General features: G+C 44.8%; 1 protein-coding gene across 2 annotated transcripts in view, besides 2 other annotated features; it reads left to right on the forward strand.

Annotated features, from left to right (window-relative positions):
- Positions 5358-5407: a silencer, noted in NCBI's record as "silent region_3177". NCBI's record gives its function as "represses an Ori minimal core promoter by ATAC-STARR-seq in GM12878 lymphoblastoid cells {active_cell/tissue: GM12878}" and the evidence as "EXISTENCE:reporter gene assay evidence [ECO:0000049][PMID:35858748]".
- Positions 15567-17759, forward strand: part of INSC (INSC spindle orientation adaptor protein) — a 158261-nt gene continuing 156068 nt past the window's right edge. Inside the window, exon 1 of one of the 2 annotated variants that reach the window (XM_006718227.3) lies at positions 15567-15708. Coding sequence is in view for 1 of the 2 variants with exons in the window: in NM_001031853.5 (NP_001027024.3) it covers positions 16621-16716 (96 nt within the window). In the remaining variant the exon portion in view is untranslated. Of the gene's footprint in view, positions 15709-16574; positions 16717-17759 lie in introns of those variants that run through there. The other variant, NM_001031853.5, reaches the window with a different exon arrangement.
- Positions 17547-17596: an enhancer, noted in NCBI's record as "active region_4478". NCBI's record gives its function as "activates an Ori minimal core promoter by ATAC-STARR-seq in GM12878 lymphoblastoid cells {active_cell/tissue: GM12878}" and the evidence as "EXISTENCE:reporter gene assay evidence [ECO:0000049][PMID:35858748]".

Below are 17759 nucleotides of genomic sequence, written 5' to 3' on the forward strand. Positions count from 1 at the left end.
AGCTCCTTTGAATTTTCTGTCTGAAAGGTCACATATCTCTGTCTTTCTGGGATTGGTCATTGGTGACTAATTCAGTTGATTTGGTAAGGTCATGTTTTCCTGGATGGTCTTGATGCTTGTGGATATTCACTGGTATCTGGGCATTGAAGACTTTGTAGTTGTTATAGTTTTCGCAGTCTGGGCTTGTTTGAACCTGTCCTTCTCTGGAAGGCTTTCCAAGTATTTGAAGGGACTTGAGTGCTGTGATCTAAGTCTTTGGTCATTGCAGCCATATCTGCATTACGGGGCACCCCAAGCCCAGTAATCTGTGACTCTTCCAGTCTCATAGAGGTACTGCCTTAGTGGTCTAAATAAGATCTGGAAGAATTCTCTGGGTTACCAGGCAGAGACTCTTGTTATCTTCCCTTACTTTCCCCCAAGGAAATGGAGTCTGTTTCTCTGAACTGAGCTGCCTGGAGCTGTGGGAAGGGTGACATAAGCACCTCCGTGGTCACCACCACTGGAACTGCACTTGGTCAGATACAAAGCCGGTACAGCTCTGTCTTACCTAAGGCCCACAGTGACCATTGTCTAGCTACTGCCTATGTTCCTTCAAGGCTCAAGGGCTCTATAATCAGCAGGTGGTGAATCCAACCAGGCTTGTGTCCTTTCATTCATGGTGGCAAACTCTCCCCTGCCCTAGGCAGTTCCGGAGATGTCATCTAGGAGCCAGGGTCTGGATTCAGGAATCTTAGAAATCTATCTGTTGCTGTATTCTACTGTGGCAGAGCTGGAACACAAGCCACAGACAAAATCCTTCCCAACTTTTCCTTTCCCTTACCTCAAGCAAAGGAGTCTTTCCCCATGGTCACCACTGCTCCAGGCTCATGGTGAGTACTACCTGGTTACTGCTGATGTTCACTCAAGGACCAAGGTCTCTTTAGTCAGCTTGCGGTGAATGTCACCAGCCCCAAGTCTCTCCCTTCAGGGACATGGGCTCCCATCTTGCCCAGGCCAGCTGCAGAAATGCCATCCAGGAGCCAATGCCTAGAATTGTGGACCCCAGCAGCCCAGTTGGTGCTCTACCCCATGGTGGCTGAGCTGGTACCCAAGCTGCAAGACAATCTCCCCTTTACTCTTCCATCCCCTTTCCTCAAACATTAGCCTCTCTTCACAGCCACAATAGCTGGGAATGTGCTGGGTCTCACCTGAAGCCAGTATAACACTGGGTCTTACCCAAGGCCTATGATGTACTACCTGGATATCACTGCTGGTTATTTAGGACCCAAGGACTCTTTAGCCAGCATGTGATGGATCTTGCCAGGACTAGGTCTTTCCCTTCAAGACAACAGATTCCCTTCTGGCCCAGGGTGTGTCTAGAAACGTCATCCATGAGCTAGGACCTGGAATGGAGGCCTTAGGACTCTTCCTGGTGCCCTATTCTGCTGTGGCTGAGCTGGCATCCAATTTGCAAGACAAAGTCCTCTTTACCCTCACCTCTCCTCTCCTTGAGAAGGAAGGAGTTTCTTTTGAAGCTGTGAACTGCACTGTCTGAGGTTGGGGGAGGGTGGTGCAAGCACTCCATCGATTGCTCCAGCTGGTGTCTCCCTAGTTTGCATACACCTGAAATCCATTGGCTCTGAGTCCAGCCCAGCACCAGGACTTTCCCAGGAATTGTAGTCCTTGTGGCCTAGACCAACTTTCAAGTTTATTTGGAACCCCAGAGTACTTTATCCTGTGGTGATGAGACTTGCCAGAGCTCAGGTTCTGACCACAGGGATGGATGATTCACCTTTGGCTAAGGCTGGTCTAAATGCTCCATCTATGGACACCAGCTGAGTTCTGCCCCATGTTACTTTCTGCCATGACAGGGCAGCACTGAGTTCCAATGCCGAGCCCCACGATGACTGTGCTCTCCCTCTCCCAAGAGCACAGATTCTTCACACCATGAGGCTGATGCCAGGAGATGGAGAAGGGGTGGTATAGATGATTCAAGACTGTCTTTCCTACTCTCTTTAGTGCCTCTTTCCTTCACTTTTTAGCGCCTCTTTCCTTAATATGATGTTAAAACCTGGCATTGTGATCTCTCATCTAATTTTTGGTTGTTATGAAGGTGATTTTTTTGTGTGTAGTGCAGTGGAACTTCATACTGTCATGTTACGACATGACAGCAACACTGTCATGAGTTCTACTCATGCAACTACTCAAGCAACACTGAGTTCTACTGCAATGAGAATTTGTTTTTAACACTATCATGGAAAGTCCTTGAGTTTCAATGCATGCCTTGAGTTGAGAGTTTTGGGATGTAGAGACATAAGCATTTACCTCCACTCTGAGATCTTTGGAGTGTCCAAACTTTTCTATTTGATGAGAACTTAATTACAGGTAATCAGTTTTATGCTGAGCGTCATAGCTGCTAGATCTTTATTCTGGGACATGAATGAGCCTTTGTGCTATTTGTCATACATTAGCCAGATAAATGATCCTGTATTTCCCATATTTTGCATATTTTGCTAAACATTTCTTTCCTTCACTGCACTCATGGTATCAATCTCTGTATCAGTTAGGATTCTTGGCTGTAAGCAATAGAAATGGATTCAGGACCTCTTATGCAGAAAGGCAAATTTTTGGAAGCATATCAGAGTTTCATTGAATTATTGAGGGTTGGAAATGTGGGAGTGGCTTCATTGGGTGGTCCTGGTTCAGAGACTCTCGTGAAGTTGCAACTAAGATGTCAGACAAAGCTGCAGTCTTCAAAGACTTGAATGGGGCCAGAGGATGTGCTCTAAGGCTGCTAATGTGTCTGTTGGCAAGAGGTTTTAATTTCTTGCCATGTGGGCTTCTTCAAAAGGTTGCCTATGTCATGACTTACCTCAGAGTAACTGATTGCTGGAGTATAGTACGTGAGTGGGAAGAGAGAATGAAAGCACAAGATGGAAGTTGAATACTCCTTTATTCCCAAATTACTTTTGTAATATTCTATGGGTGACATTGACCAACCGTAGCATAATGCGGGAGGGAATTACACAAAGGCAACAGTACTGGGAGACAAGGATAATTAGTGAGTATCTTGGAGGCTGCCTACTACAATGGCTAAGTGGAGGACAAAGCTGAGAAATAATAAAAAAATCACCAAACAAACAAGAAGAAAACCTAGGGATGCTCCAAGGGCTGGACAGCAAAACTTCAGAAAATGTCAGAGGGGAGGAACAAAACTCATTATGTTGTTATTGCCATAAACATAGAGACAAAAGTCTTTATGTTGTTATTGCCACTGTAATGGTTATGACTTTTAGTCATTCTACATTTGCTCAAGATTGAGAGCCCTGGGAGAGAGCTGAGCCTACCTCATGTGCTTGCATCTCCATCATGCTGGGTTTGTGAGAGAATATCTATTTAATTCAGCTTCCATCACAGGGAGCAAGCACTACCTTCCACCAAGACTACACACAACAGGGAATTCTCCAAATAAGAGGTCAGGATGCTAACTGGAAAGAAGGGTTTAATGCTAGATACACCTGCCCTTTCCCAGAAAAGACAGTATCTAATAGAGTCATACAAAATTGAGGGACCTCCAAGTGGCTAATGTGATGTGTAGTCTGAGAGATCTATGTAAATAATTAAATGTAGGAGTCACTGGAATTTGAATAGGAGGTATTTGAGATTATGATAATACACAAAAGAGCTAGTGAGTGTTTGTAGAGACAAGACAAGAGGGCAAGAAGGAACACAGAATATTTGAGAGAGTAGGAAAAGTCAGGCTCATGGATACTGCCTCTTTTCTAATTTCTCACTGTTTGAAACACATCCAGGAACTGATTCACTTGTAAGTCCTTGCTGCTGTTGTGTCTCTTAGTTTTCTTTTGTCTGAAAGTGCAGTCTTCCTCAATAGGCTAGAGCTCTTATCAAGCAAGGACTGTCTCATTCACCTCTCTCTTCACTCTATAACTCAGAGTTGTTTAGCTATGTTTTAACCTGCCCAAGAGGAGGGGATCTAGCTATAGTTGGTTATCCTGCCCATGCAAAAGCTCAAGAGAAGAAGCCACTCCTGGATGTTAGCAAACAGCTATAGAAAAAGTGATTGATACTTTGCTTTAGAGGAGAATAACCTTTTTAAATTGCAGCATTCATTTGATGATTCTTCAGTAGCCCTCAGATCTAAACCTCTGGAAATATAGAAGTTGCTATGCAGACAGAGATAAATTCTCACTGTGTAGTATGACTTGTGTGAAGGAATAATATACTGCTTGTATAACTTTTAATTCTTAGTAAATGAATATTGTGGATTAAGCTCTCCTTATAAGGATGAGACAATAAGTAATAAAGCCAGGGGCCTTCTGTAGGAGATAAGGTCTCACCTCTAGTGTAAGCTTGTTACTTTTCCCAGTTATATGGGGCAATAGGCCTGCTTCTCAGATAAGAAACTAGAACTTGGGAGAACAGGTCTAGGTCACCAGAAGGGAATTGATCCCTTCTTCGGTTTGGATTTCAGGAAAGGGTTGTTGAGATATGTAGGAAAAGGCTCACTGACGATGGGTGTTAAGATGACACTGACCCCGTGGAGGTAGGCTGGAGACTGAGAAGGTGGGAACTAAGGGAACAGAGTCAACCCTTTGAAGCTAGTTTGATGATTATCTCTCTGGGATGGAAGTGAAATATTATAGAACTTTTGAGCCCTGAGAATGAGCTCCTGATGGTAAAAACCAGCCTTGGATGATAAAGCCAGACTTCACTTCCCTTTGGTATTTATTTACTTGTTGCCCTCCAACTGGGTTTTGTGAAATCTGTTCAAGTCCTGGATGAGACCTGGATGGTCTCAGCTAAGCTCTGAGGGTACCCAGGTTGACTCTTGTGTTCTATAAGAGTTAGAGTTATAAAGGAGAAGTCATAGTCCACTTGCCTTTGGCCATTAGAGCATTTGCAGTGTGGATGCAGAACAAAGCATGAACATGTTCCATGCCTCCCCGTGTATCACTGAGGCGGTGCCTGGAGAATCGCACCATCTCTGTGTGCCCTTCCTAAGCCAGGCTATGGTCACATTGCTGGTCCCTGCTTCTGCTGCCTCCTTGGCACCCCAAACCTGGATGGCATCCTCTAGAAAGGGTGCAAAGGCAAGAGACTGGCTTCTTATCACTTAGTTTCCAGAACTATGAGCCGAAGGCCTAAAATTTTTTCAAGGATTCATGAAAATGTTCAAGTTTACAAAGCATATTATTGGCTTCAACATATGAATATGGTAAGACAGGTAAATAAATGTTTATTTAAGTGTCTTCATGTCTGTTGGTCTACTAAACTCAACTATTATGTAGTTGTATAGAAATTGTATTCTATATGAGATATAGATGCATCTTATTATGATATTAGGTGAGAATTTCAAAATAAAAGGACTAGCAGCAGCTTAAAATACTGTCTCTCCCTCAGTCCGTCCCGCTAGGTGCAAAGCAGCCTCTTATCCACCAGAGGGCGGACTAAGCCCCGCTTCAGCTTCCTTAGCCAGGATCCCCTTCTCCCAGGCAGATCGCAAGCAGGTCTCCCAGATTCATCTCTAATTCTTCCTTCTTTCTGAGCCTTGGTTTTGTGGCCTGTAAATTTGAATTAATGGTGCCTCCTTCACAGAGGTGAGGTAACATTCTTCCAAAGCACTTGGGATTCCGGGGGCAGGTGGTAATGTTAGGGAGGAGGGAGGCTTGAAGTTTCCTCTCATCTGAGAAACCTTGCTGAGACATCCAGAGACTGAGAATACTAGTGAGACCCATTTTGTTTTATTCCTGATTTCCCTCAAAGCACAAAGGCTGGGGCAGAGATGGAAGAGTGGTGGGAGTGGGGGTCATTACGGGCATGAATGGAGATCCCCGAATTTTGACACAGGACTACTCTTCTTGAGCCTGTCCTTCCTTACTGAGATTTATTATTTCAAAATGCTGTCTGAGCTCAGAGGAGGCTTAGAGATCTCCTGGCTGGAGATGGGGTGGGGGTGGGTGAAGAAAAAATTAGGGAGGTTTTATGGAGGAGTTAGTCTTGACCTGAATGTGCTGGTAGGGTTTTTTCAAATGAAATAATTTAAATAACTTGTTTTCCTAATTATAAAATAATATATACACAATACAGAAAATTTTGAATATAGCATCTCTCCCCCCAAAAATATATGTGTTTCTTAGTTATCCCATCATTCAGATAAACCCACCATTAACAGTTTGGCGTATGTTCTTTCTTTTACATCTTATCTTAGTTTTGTTCCTGCTGCTATAACAAAATACCACAGACTGGGTGATTTGTAAAGAATAGAAATTTATTCCTCACAGTTCTGGTGGCTGGAAAGTCCAAGATCAAGGCATCAGCAGATTTACTATTTGGTTAGGGTTGCTCTCTGCTTCTAAGATGGCACCTGTTGCTACATCCTCATGTGGCAGAAGGGCAAAAAGGGGGACAAACACTGTGTCCTCACATGGCAGAAGAGATGGAGGGGGGAGCTCACCCCCTTAAGGCCTTCTATAAAGGTGCTAATTCCAGCTGTAATAGTGAAACCCTCATGATTTAGTCACCTCCTAAAGGCATTGCCTCTTAATACAATCACCTTGGAGGTTAAATTTCAACATATGAGTTTTGGAGGCACACATACATTCAAACCATACCACATCTTTATGTACATATTTATAAACATGTATAACATCAAACCTCTTTAAAGTCTGTCTTTTTCAGTGTGTATCTTTCTATGCTATACTTTGTTCTTCTATTATTTTTTGCTTATTTCATATTACATTGAATAGATGTGCCAGAATTTATGCAATGAAGCCCTATATACATGTAAGTTGTTTCCAGATTTTAATTATCATAAAAATGCTATAATAATCATCTTTGGAGCTAAATTTTGCAAAATGTTCATATTGTTTCTTAGCAGGGATACACATGGGGATAATCTGGGACCACTTTAATCTAATTTTAATCCAATGCGATACTATTTTTTATCCTTTCTAGAAATAGGATTGTATAGTCAAAGGGGAACTGCATATGTAATTTTGCTAGATTTAGGAAATGTGGCATTTTGTATTTCTACCCATCTTATATAACGGTTCTTCTTTCTTGCAGCCTCACCAACTGGATATGTTGTCAAATTTATAGATGAATTTCTGGATGACCAGATGTAGGAGGAACTAGTACAACTTAAGCAACAGACAACAGAAACAGACCCACAGGTTCAAATGTAGGGGGACCTAACAGGAAGAGAAATGTCAGCTCCATATAGGGAAGCACTTTCTGTCACCCTATCTGTCTAAAGGTAGTGTGAGATTCTCAGGCAGTTATAGGCTTCCTGTCACTTGAGGTGTTCAAGCACAGGCCAGATGACCATTCAGCAGAATGTAGTAGAGAAGTTTCAGCACCACTTTGGCATCTAGATCAAGGACCTTTAAGACTGGAGAAAAATACAAAACCATATTGATTGCTTCATTTTAAATACCTGAATCCATGATTATGAGAGACTTAATTAGGCCCTTATTGCTGCTATGGATTTGTATGTCCCTAGTCCTTTCACTCTCCCATTTACTTCTAGATCACTTTTATATACCTTCCTCAAACTCCCAGCACCCTCTCCACCATCCTTATTCTAAGCTTCTGACCTTGCTTGTTACTTCACTTAAAGGATGGCATCAATCAGAAGAGAGCCTCCACAGACTCTTAACAAAACATCTCTACACCTACTGGCATCTGAACATAGGTGCTCTTCTCCCTTGGTTGCCATCGATTAACTTTCTGTGCCCCTAGCTGGAGCCATTTCTTTTATTTGTGCAGCAGATCCCTCCCCTTTCCACTACTCAAAGGCATTGCTTCAGCCGTTACCTATCTCTGCCTTCACCTCGTACTCCCCTCACTCCTTTGTTTCACCTTAGTGTTCTTCCTGCTCTTGCTCAAAGATACCAGCCATACTCTTGCCTTAGAATATTTGCTTTCACTGATTCCTTTTTTTGGGAAAGCTCTTCTCACAGATTTGCATTATACATAACTCTTTCACCTCCATTTACATTGACTAGGCTTAAAAAATATCTAACTGTAGGCTTTTTACAGGAGTTACCTAAAACATGAGAATACAGAATGGCAAAAGAAAAAGAATGAAAATACAATATACCATGCAAACACTAACTAAAATAACGGCAGTGTAATTAATATTAATTTGACTAAAATTGACCATAAGACAAAAAGCATTAAGAGATAATGAGGGCTATCTTAAGATAACAAAATGTAACATTTCCAGCAGAATGTAATAATTGTAAACGTATATGCACCTAATAACATAGCCTGACAGTATATAAAGCAGAAATACACAATTATATTGGGACATTTTAATTCATCTCTCCCTTAATTAACTCCTCCTATGGGAATGGTCTATTTATATCTTTCTCCATTTACTAGGTTGTGAGGACTCCAAGGTAGAGACCCTGCCTTAATCATGGTTGTATTCCTAGTGATGTGCATGGTGCCAGGCATAGGATTGGTCTTTATTCATTAATGTTTTCTGTACTAGACTTTCTCTGGCAGTAGTGAGGTCACCATGTTCTGAAGCATTCTTTAGGAATGTTCTTACTCCTAGAAGGGACTTAGTCTTCTGGATTGAAAGCTGTCTCTCTCTGCACCCCACCCTCACTACCCTATCCTCATGGGCCTTGGGCATAGATGGGTTCTGGAGGGCCGGCGTTTTAAATCTTGAGTAGTGTTAATTGTAGGGAATTTAAAACAGATCAATTTTTTATTTCCTACAAAGTCCTGGGCTGGGCATGGTTTCTATTAGAAGGATCCTTTATAATGGATCCTCAATAATCTAATACATCCTCAATAATTTATCTGAGGGTTTGCATTAAGGCTTTTCAATTATTCAAATTGTCAGATTTTTCATCTCTTGGTGAAACTTTTCTGGAAGCTTCTATTTCAGTTGTTGCAAGTGCTTGATAGCATAGCTTCTGCCTTTGGCAAGCCCTTAGCCAAGGGCTGTAAATCTGGGCCTATCAAAACCATTATGGCAATTTAGAGGCTTTCTGGAGTTCAGTGCTTCTATACAGAGATTTAAATGAAGCAGTGTCTGTGGGGACTTAGAGAGTTTGTAGGTCTTGGTTTTTCTCTGGGTTCTGCTTATAAACCATTCAGCTGGGCATCCTCCCCCATAGCTTCTCTATCATCTCTGCTCTGCTCTGCATCTGGAAGAGCTGATCTTCAGACCGTAGCACCTGGACTCTCTTGTTCCCTGATTGGGTTCAGCCAGCAGAGGAACTGGCTGGAGATCAGAGGAAGGAGCAGAGACAGGTTAGGGAATTTCTTCTCCATTTCTCTTTGGAGCTATGATTTTATGATCACAGTTTCTTCTGGGTAGCCTCTTCCAAGGCTGCCCTGGAACACCAGTAAGTGATTTACCTGCTTGTCCCTCTAGAATTGGTGGTGGTAATGGGTTCCCGCAGTTGTCAGTCCCCGCATGCTTCAAACCACTTGCTATTATTTTCTTAACCCTGAACATAAATAGGCCTTCATTAAATTGTTGTCCAAATTTCAGCCGTGTGGCCCTCTTTCCCACTGGGACCTGCCTGGAATATGAAAATGAACAGAATATGCATTTTGCCTGAAAGATGGCCCCTTTCCTTACCATCTGTCAGCTCAGAGTCCTCATCAGATACACCTGGAAGGACTAGGTCTCAGGTGCTGTGGACTTAGGTGTGGAGATTCAGAGAAGGAAAAGACACTTGTGCAAGGTCAAAGAGATAAAAGATAAGCCTCAAGCCCTCATCCGCTGTGCTGTGTGCTTTCTGCTGGTGGGCCTTCTCTTTTAGCTGTCTTCACTGAGGAGACATGCAGAGGGGGAACAAGTGAGGACTTGTAAATTGGTAAGCAAAAGTAGAAAGCTCAAGCCAGCTTAAGGGAAATAAGAAAAATCTTGTTAGAATGTACAGGTGTCTCATGGGACCCCCAGGACAGGGAAGCTGTTGGTTCTCATAAACCAGGGATGGGAATGTCCTTCTCAGGGAAAATTATTGGAAACCCAAGTCCTCTTTCTTTTAAGGACTGGGTTTTCTGTTGGTTCTCTTTCTCTTTTTGCACCTGGTTCCTGGATGATCTCTGCCCCTCTTTGCTCTGACACATGGGGCAGCTACTTCCTCTACCATGCTTGAACCATTCCATGGCAGTTTACTAATATCTATTGTGTGCTAGCTACTGCACTAGAAGACACGGTCTCTTTTCTCATGGTATGGAAGGTGGGAGAGACAGACAGTAATCAAACAAATAAACAATCAAGGGAATTTCAGAGAGTGATAAGTGGCATTCATAGGAGAATGACCAGGGATGGTTCTTTGTAGGTCAGGGAAGATTTCTCTCAAGAAGATGATGTGACTTGAGACCCTAGAAGAGAGAAGAATTATGTAGGGTTTCTTGAGTCAGAAGAAAAGGTTTGCATTTTTTTTTCTAAGTGCAGTAGTAAGAAGCAATTAAAGAGTTTTAGGTGAGGGAGGACAAGCTCGTATTTACGTTGTTAAAGGATGACTCAGGCTGCTGTGTGGTTAATGAAGGTTAGAAGGCAGAAAAGGAGGCAGCGAGGTCCTCGCAGAAACTCTAAACAGGAGTCCAGGTTTGCAATGATAAGAAATGGTGGAGGGGGAGAGAGAGAGCCTGGAGGCAGAGCAGAGGACTAGCAGACCAGTTGGATAGACAGGGAGGGAAATAGTGGGGGTAAAGGGGAAGCAAAGGCAGCTCAGGTTTTTGTTTTCATCAGCTGGTGGTGGGGTGGTGCCATTTAATGACCTTCCTTGATGAGAACTCACAAGCAGTCCCAGAGCTGCTGCACTCTCCAGGTGGGGCAAGTTCTTTCCTTGTCAGGCTCCACAGCTTCCTGATGGCTCCCAAGTGCCCCCATGGGCTACTTCTATCTGCAGGCCTTGTTGTCTCTGGGATCAGCCCTTGCCCCCGCAGTAACTTTGTGACTCAGATCGGAGTCACCAAGTACCGGCTTGTACACATTGTCCTCACTGGTTTCATTTCAAATGTATGTTTTCCAAGCCCCAGCTGGGCTCCTTTTGTCATCCCTAATCCATTCCTTTCTTTTCCGTACTTCCCATGGGAGATGGTGTGTCCTATCCCTGATTCCTCAAGGCTCCACCCCCACTTATGCCCCTTTCTTCTCCACAAATTACCCGGCCTCCCACTTTGGGAAAAGGCCTTCTTATGTGTCTGCCCCCATCCTGCCCTTCTCAGCAGCAGGTGCACTTCCTCCTGTCCCAGGCGAACCTCTGCACTTGTATTGAAACTCGAGGGGCTGCCGGGCACAGTGGCTCATGCCTGTAATCCCAGCACTTTGGGAGGCCCAAGTGGGAGGGTTGCTTGAGCCCAGGAGTCCGACCAACATGGTCAACAGGGTGAATCCCTGTGTCTACTAAAAATACAAAAAATTAGCCTGGCTTGGTGGCGCATGTCTGTAGTCCCAGCTACTGGGGAGGCAGAGGTGGGAGGACTACCTGAGCTCAGAAAGTTGAGCCTGTAGAGCTGAGATCATGCTACTGCACTCCAGCCTGGGGGATGGAAGTGAGACCCTGTCTTAGAAAGAAAAAAAAAGGGGGGAGAGGGGAACAAACCAGAGGAGCCTAGAGTCAGGCAGATATGTTGATATGTTTTCATATCATATTGGGTTTGAATCTCTGATCTTCTGTAAACTGGCTGCCTGACCTTGGGAGAGCTATTTAACCTCTCTCAGCCTGCTTCCTTCCCTCTAAGTGGGGCTAGTAATAACTACATATTATTAGACGAAACATGGAAAGTACTTGGTACAGGCAGGGCTGGTATATAGGAAGAACTCAATACGTGGCAACGTAGTCACTGTTATTATAATTTTGTCCCTCTTCCCGAGACCTTACTTCTTCAGTTACCTTCATACCCATCTTTCTCCCTGAAGGGAGCACAGGAAATGGAAGAAACACTGGACTCTGAGCTGGAGAGGCCAAAATGGCTTTTGGAGCCAGGCTGTCCTCCTTCCAGAAGGACCTGAGAAGCTGTTCCAGACAAGACAGAGCAAGCTTCTGGGAATCTAAACAGCCAGGGAAGGTCCAATGTGAGTCACTTCCTCAGTTAGGCACCAAGGCAGTGACAGAAGTAGCATTTCCTGGCCATGACTTTGCTGAGGTTGTCCTGCTGTTTTTGGAAAGGTATTGCTTTTTAGGCTTCATAAAGGGGGACTGTATCTTAGTTCAGGATGCACAGCCACTGCTTAGTCTCTTGGGATTCTCCAGGTACATGGGGTTAAGGAAGCTGGGGAGGAAGTGGTGTGACCGGCCCTACACAGCCCATGCTGGTCTTACACCCTGATGGCCTTTCCTCCCTGACCTGAACAACCTTTATTTCATTGTTAGGGAGGCTAAGCTATGACTCCTCCCACTGGAGCAATTCTCAAAGTTTAGCAGACATCAGAATCTCCTAGGAGACTTGTTCAAATGCAGCTTGCTAGACGGTAGTGACAGATTTTCTGATTCAGTCGCTGTGGGGTGAAACCTGAGAATTTGCATGTTGTTATAAGATCCCAGGTGTTGTCAAGATAGCTGGTCTAGGACCACTCTTTGAAAACCACCACCCTAGAGAGTTGCATGTTTGCACAATAATTTGTCCTTTGGCATCCCGTCTGAGGGCAGGGCATGATGTAGGGGAAAGACAAAGGGGCAGGAATCTTGGGTTCTTATTTTCACTAATTTACTCTGTGGCTGTATTTCTGAAGATGGTCTTGATTGTGAGTAAGGGATTATTGCTTGTTACTCTAAGACACATATGGACATTGTTGGAAGGATACTAGGGACTCTCTCTAAATTCAAGGAAGAGATTATAGTTAAGGTTTGGGAAGGGCAAGGCAGCCTTGGAATTTATTTTCTGCTGTCCAGGGCACTCTGGTCAGGTAGTTCAAATTCTAAATGCTGATAAGAAGTAATCTATTTGGCTCACAAGCAACAGGACTTTCCTACCCTCCCCCACGTAGCCAATAAGCCTCAGCAGGTATTCAGTGGAGCAGACGTATACAGGACAGGGTCAAGTAAAGAGGCAGGGCTGCTCCCCAGCTCCCACCAACCTGAACTGAGCAGCTTACTACAGAGGCCATGACTGGGATTCTTCCCCTGCCTGGGCCTCAGTTTTCTTATCTGTACCATGAGGGGTTTGGGTTAGAACTTCATCACTAGATTAGTGTTTCTCAAAGTTGGCCTGCATCATAATTTCTTGGGATGCTAGAAAATAGAGACCCACAATGTCCCATGGTGTGCTACTAAGTGATCAACAACAGGCTTTCCAAAACAAAACAAAACACAACACCCTAATTTATAGCGTTTGCTCAATTTCTGTAGTGTAAATAAATACTTCTACCTTGGTCAAGTTCAAGCTAACAATGTGAAGTCACTGAACGTCACTCGGGAAGAGAGGTGCATGTGGGCTCCAGCACACCACCCACCTACTGACTCAGAAACACTGAGGGAGGCCTTGGACTCTGCATTTTGCCCCCCTTCAGGTGATTTTAGTGGATCGTAAAATTTCAGAACCCCTGCATCCAGAGATCTCTGAGGGCTTTTCTGTCCCTTCTGTCTCTCCATTCTAATTATATTACAAGTTCTCACACTGGCTTTGGGAATTGGGGATCATTTTCCTTCTTGTAAGAATTGCAGAGCAAGGCCTGGAGAGATAGATGCCATTGCCCAAGTGAGTTAATGATGCATCTGCACCAGCCTGTCTGGTACTCTGTCTCCTTGTCCTCTGTGAGGGCCCTATCTCTCCATCCTGGGGGCAGGGCAGCATCTTGATGTGCACGTCTCAGGGGGATACTGGAGGTTGCAGCTGTGGATACTGGGACCCATGCCCATTGCTCATCTCTAAGGGTGGGGCTGGATTTCAGCTGCTATCACTATGACCTTTTGATCTCTTATCTCCATCCCTGGAACTGAGAGCCTGCCTGGCCATCGCTATTTTTGTGCAGGTCCCTCATCTTGATAACTTCTCTGTGCAGATAGAGGACAGAGTGGAGGATGCTGTTTTTTGTCTTGAGGTGTGCTGGGGCAGAGAGAGCCATGACAGAGCCCATGAAAGACCCACCAATAGATGGCAGGGGTGACACAGAAGTTGGGAAGAGAAAAGTTAGGCAAAAAAGTGTACAAACTACTGAAAAGGTTAAAAATTCTTTTTTTTTTTTTGAAAGTGTCCTACTCTGTTGTCAAGGGTGGAGTGCAGTGGTGTGATCATAGCTCACTGTAACTTTGAACTTCTGGGATCAAGCAGTCTTCCTCCTATCCTCCTGCCTCAGCCTCCTGAGTAGCTGGGACCACAGGTGCACACCACTTTTCCTGGCTAATTTTTTATTTTTATTTTTTTTCAAAGATGAGGTATAGCTTTGTTGTTTAGGCTGGTCTTGAACTTTTAGCTTCCACTTATCCTCCCACCTCAGCCTCCCAAAGTGGTACTGGGATTACTGGTGTCAGCCGCTGCTCCTGGCCCAGGATTGTACATTTAAGGAGCTTTCAGAAGAGATCATCTTTATGCTGTAATTAGGTTGGAAATTTAGTTTTGAACTGGAATCATCCCTGACTTTCTCTTATTCTAGAGAGTAGTGGTTCTCAAAGCATGATCTCCAGATCAGTAGTATCAACATCACCTGGGAACTTTTTAGAAATGCAAATTCTTCAGCTCAGAATATCTCCCCATCTTAGAGCTATTGCCTGAATCACCATGATTCCTTATTCATTTGTGGAGATTAAGCACTCCTCCCTCAAAAAACTCTTCCAATGCTGGTGCCCCATGGGACTGCCATGCTGGGCTATGTTCTCTGACTACAGGGTGGATGAGCTTGTGACAACAGAAACAGTTGGGGAATTCTGGGTTGGGGATAGGGGAAATCACAAGAGACAATAGAGACTACCCTGGCTATAACAGGCCTTCTTAGGCACTTTCTATTGTGGCTGCTTAGAAGGAGGCCTGAGGCCAGCACACATCCTGCCCCTTGGAGATACCTAGCATAGCATGGCAACTTCAAGCAGTGGATAAGCTCCTGGCGGACTGAACTCTTTGGATCTCTCCTGCATGTCTGTCCTCTCAACTCTCTGGACTCAGGACTTCATTGCCTGTCCCAAAAGGAAAAGGACTTTTCTGCCCTCCCCTACGTGGCCAATAAGCCACAAGAAGTATGTGGTGGAACAAATGCAGGAGAGGGTGGAGTGGCCTGGCCCCAATCCCTGTCTCCTCTCGTTCCACCAGGGTTTTGCCATCTTCCTACAGTATAACTTCAACTCCCTCGGGCAACACGTGCTCTGCTCTACCCAATGCTTGGGCTCCTGTGCCAGGCCTTGTCCCAAGGGCCCTGTTTATATTCATCTGGGCCTGAAGGACAGGATCCTAGCATTGGAGGCTGGTCAGTGCTCAGAGCCTCGGAGGTGCTCCCTCCTTGGAAGTGCGATCCCTTCAGAAGAGTGTAGCTGAGGCTTCTTTCAGTGACTATCTAGGGAATACTGGGGGAACAATTTGGAGCTGAGGCTGGGGGTTGACTATGAACCTGGCAGACTGCAGTGTAAACCTGAAGTCTTTCCTCCATTTAGGTCTGAACTTGTCCTTCCTAAAGTGATGTGTGAAGCTGGTGGATCTGGGATAGGCCATCTGGACAGGAGAAGAATGTGGAGTCAGGCTGGAGGGGACCTTTGCCTGATACAGCTCTGGACCAGTCCTGAGGCGCCTACTTTGGTTTAGGTGAAATAAGCTATTTGTGGGTACACCTCTGAGCATGTGCATGTGTCTTTACCTGTGTGTCTTTCTGTGCATCCATAAGGATTCCCATGTGTATTTGTGTAGAGTCTCCATCTCACCAGCTGTGAGGCCACAGACAGGTGATTTAAACCACCTGGCCTCCCTTTTCTGTGTCTGTATTATGGGGATAATAATAACTTTTATAAAAGGTTACTATGGCAGCAAAATGAAACATGCACATAAGCTTCTTAGCACAGTTCCTGGTGCTCATGTGTTAGGCTGTTATTATCAATGTCTTGGGTAAGTTACTTACTGAGGCCCTCCCTGGGCCTCAGTTTCTTCATGTGTAAAATAGGGATAATACCAGAACCTAGTACTGTTCTAAGGATTAGAGCAATTGATACCTATGAAGTTCTCGTATATGCAATAAATGTTAATGATTAGAATGTATATTATCTTTGTGTCTGGATGTGTCTGGATGAGAATATCTGAGTTTGTAAATGTCTCTGAGCATGTCTTGCTGCTGGTGTGTGTATACACACATGTATATATGTGTTTAGGTGTGTTTATATAGCCAGACAGGCCCAGTCTCTCTGGTGGAGTTTGCTGTTGGCCCAAGCCTGGACTCCCTGAGCCAGCTAGGGCCGGCGCCGGGGATGGAATTTCCATTAAGAATTAAGCAGGACAGCACAGCATTGAGAAGTCAGGCAGACAGAGGGGAGGGGGTCGAGGGGGAGGAAGCTTCAACTCTGAGCTCCCTTGGGCAGCCTCAGTACTGAACTGCCTTGGACAAGCTTTGCCTTGAGTCACAGGCCTTCTCAGGGCCATGGCCCAGAAGGGTGGGCAAAGGGAAAGAAGCTGTTCACAGGGGCCTCTGTAAGGAGACTTGGAGTCGCTGCAGCCAAGGCTGGAGCCATGAGACGGCCCCCTGGCAATGGAGAGGCGGCCAGCGAAGGTCCAGGTGGCTGGGGTCTATGGGGAGTCCAGGAGTCCAGGAGGCTGTGCTGTGCCGTATGTATCTGGGAAGGTGGATGTGAGTGTGTGTGTGTGTGTGTGTGTGTGTGTGTGTGTGTGTGTGTGTGTATTGGGAAGTGGGGGGGGGGCATTTATGCCAAGTGCCTCCAGGGAACATCTAACAAACCAAGTCTGTTCCTCTCTTACCCTGAAACCCAGACACAGAGTTTGGGCCTGGAAATAAAAGAACTTTGAGGCTTTTTTGCTAACATCGATCTGTTTATGATCTAAGCCTCATTCTATTTCTAGCATATAATAAAATATCTTAGTTTTCCAGGTGCTTTACATCCTTGACCTCACTTCATACTTTCAACAACCTCATGAGCTGGGCAGAGATTTTTATGTTCCCCAATGTACATATGGGAAAACTGATGCTCAGAGAGGTTAAGTGATTTGTCCAAGGACTCATCACTAGAAAGTAGTAGAGGCAGGATGCAAAACAGGTTTCTTTGAGGAAGAATTGGAGACTTCTTTCCTTCCCTTCCTTTCCTTCCCTCTCTTCCCTCCCTTCCTTTCTTCCTTCCTTCCTCTTTCTTTCTTTTCTCTCTCTCTCTTTCTTTCTTTCTTTCTTTCTTTCTGTCTCTCTCTCTCTCTCTTTCTTTTTTGATGCAATCTCACTCTGTTGCCAGGCTGATGTGCAGTGGCACAATCTTGGCTCACTGGCTCACTGCAACCTCCGACTCATTGGTTCAAGCTATTCTCTTGCCTCAGCCTCCTGAGTAGCTGGGGTAACAGGCACATGACAACTCGCCCAGTTAATTTTTGTATTATTAGTAGAGATGGGGTTTCACCATGTCGGCCAGGATGGACTTAATCTCCGGACTTTGTGATCTATCCACCTTGGCCTCCCAAAGAGCTGGGATTACAGGCGTGAGCCACCACTCCCGGCTGAGACTATTCTTATCATACCACCTGCCCTACCGGAAACAGACTCAGAGAGAAGATTCTGCAAACAGTCTGTAAGACTGTGGTTTCAGTGGTAATGCCCAGCCAGGCGGCACCAAGCCCTGTCCCCAGCCCTAGACAGCACTTGTTGAAAC

The sequence above is a fragment of the Homo sapiens genome, chromosome 11, assembly GCF_000001405.40.
Source record: "Homo sapiens chromosome 11, GRCh38.p14 Primary Assembly".
Taxonomy (NCBI): Eukaryota; Metazoa; Chordata; class Mammalia; order Primates; family Hominidae; genus Homo; species Homo sapiens.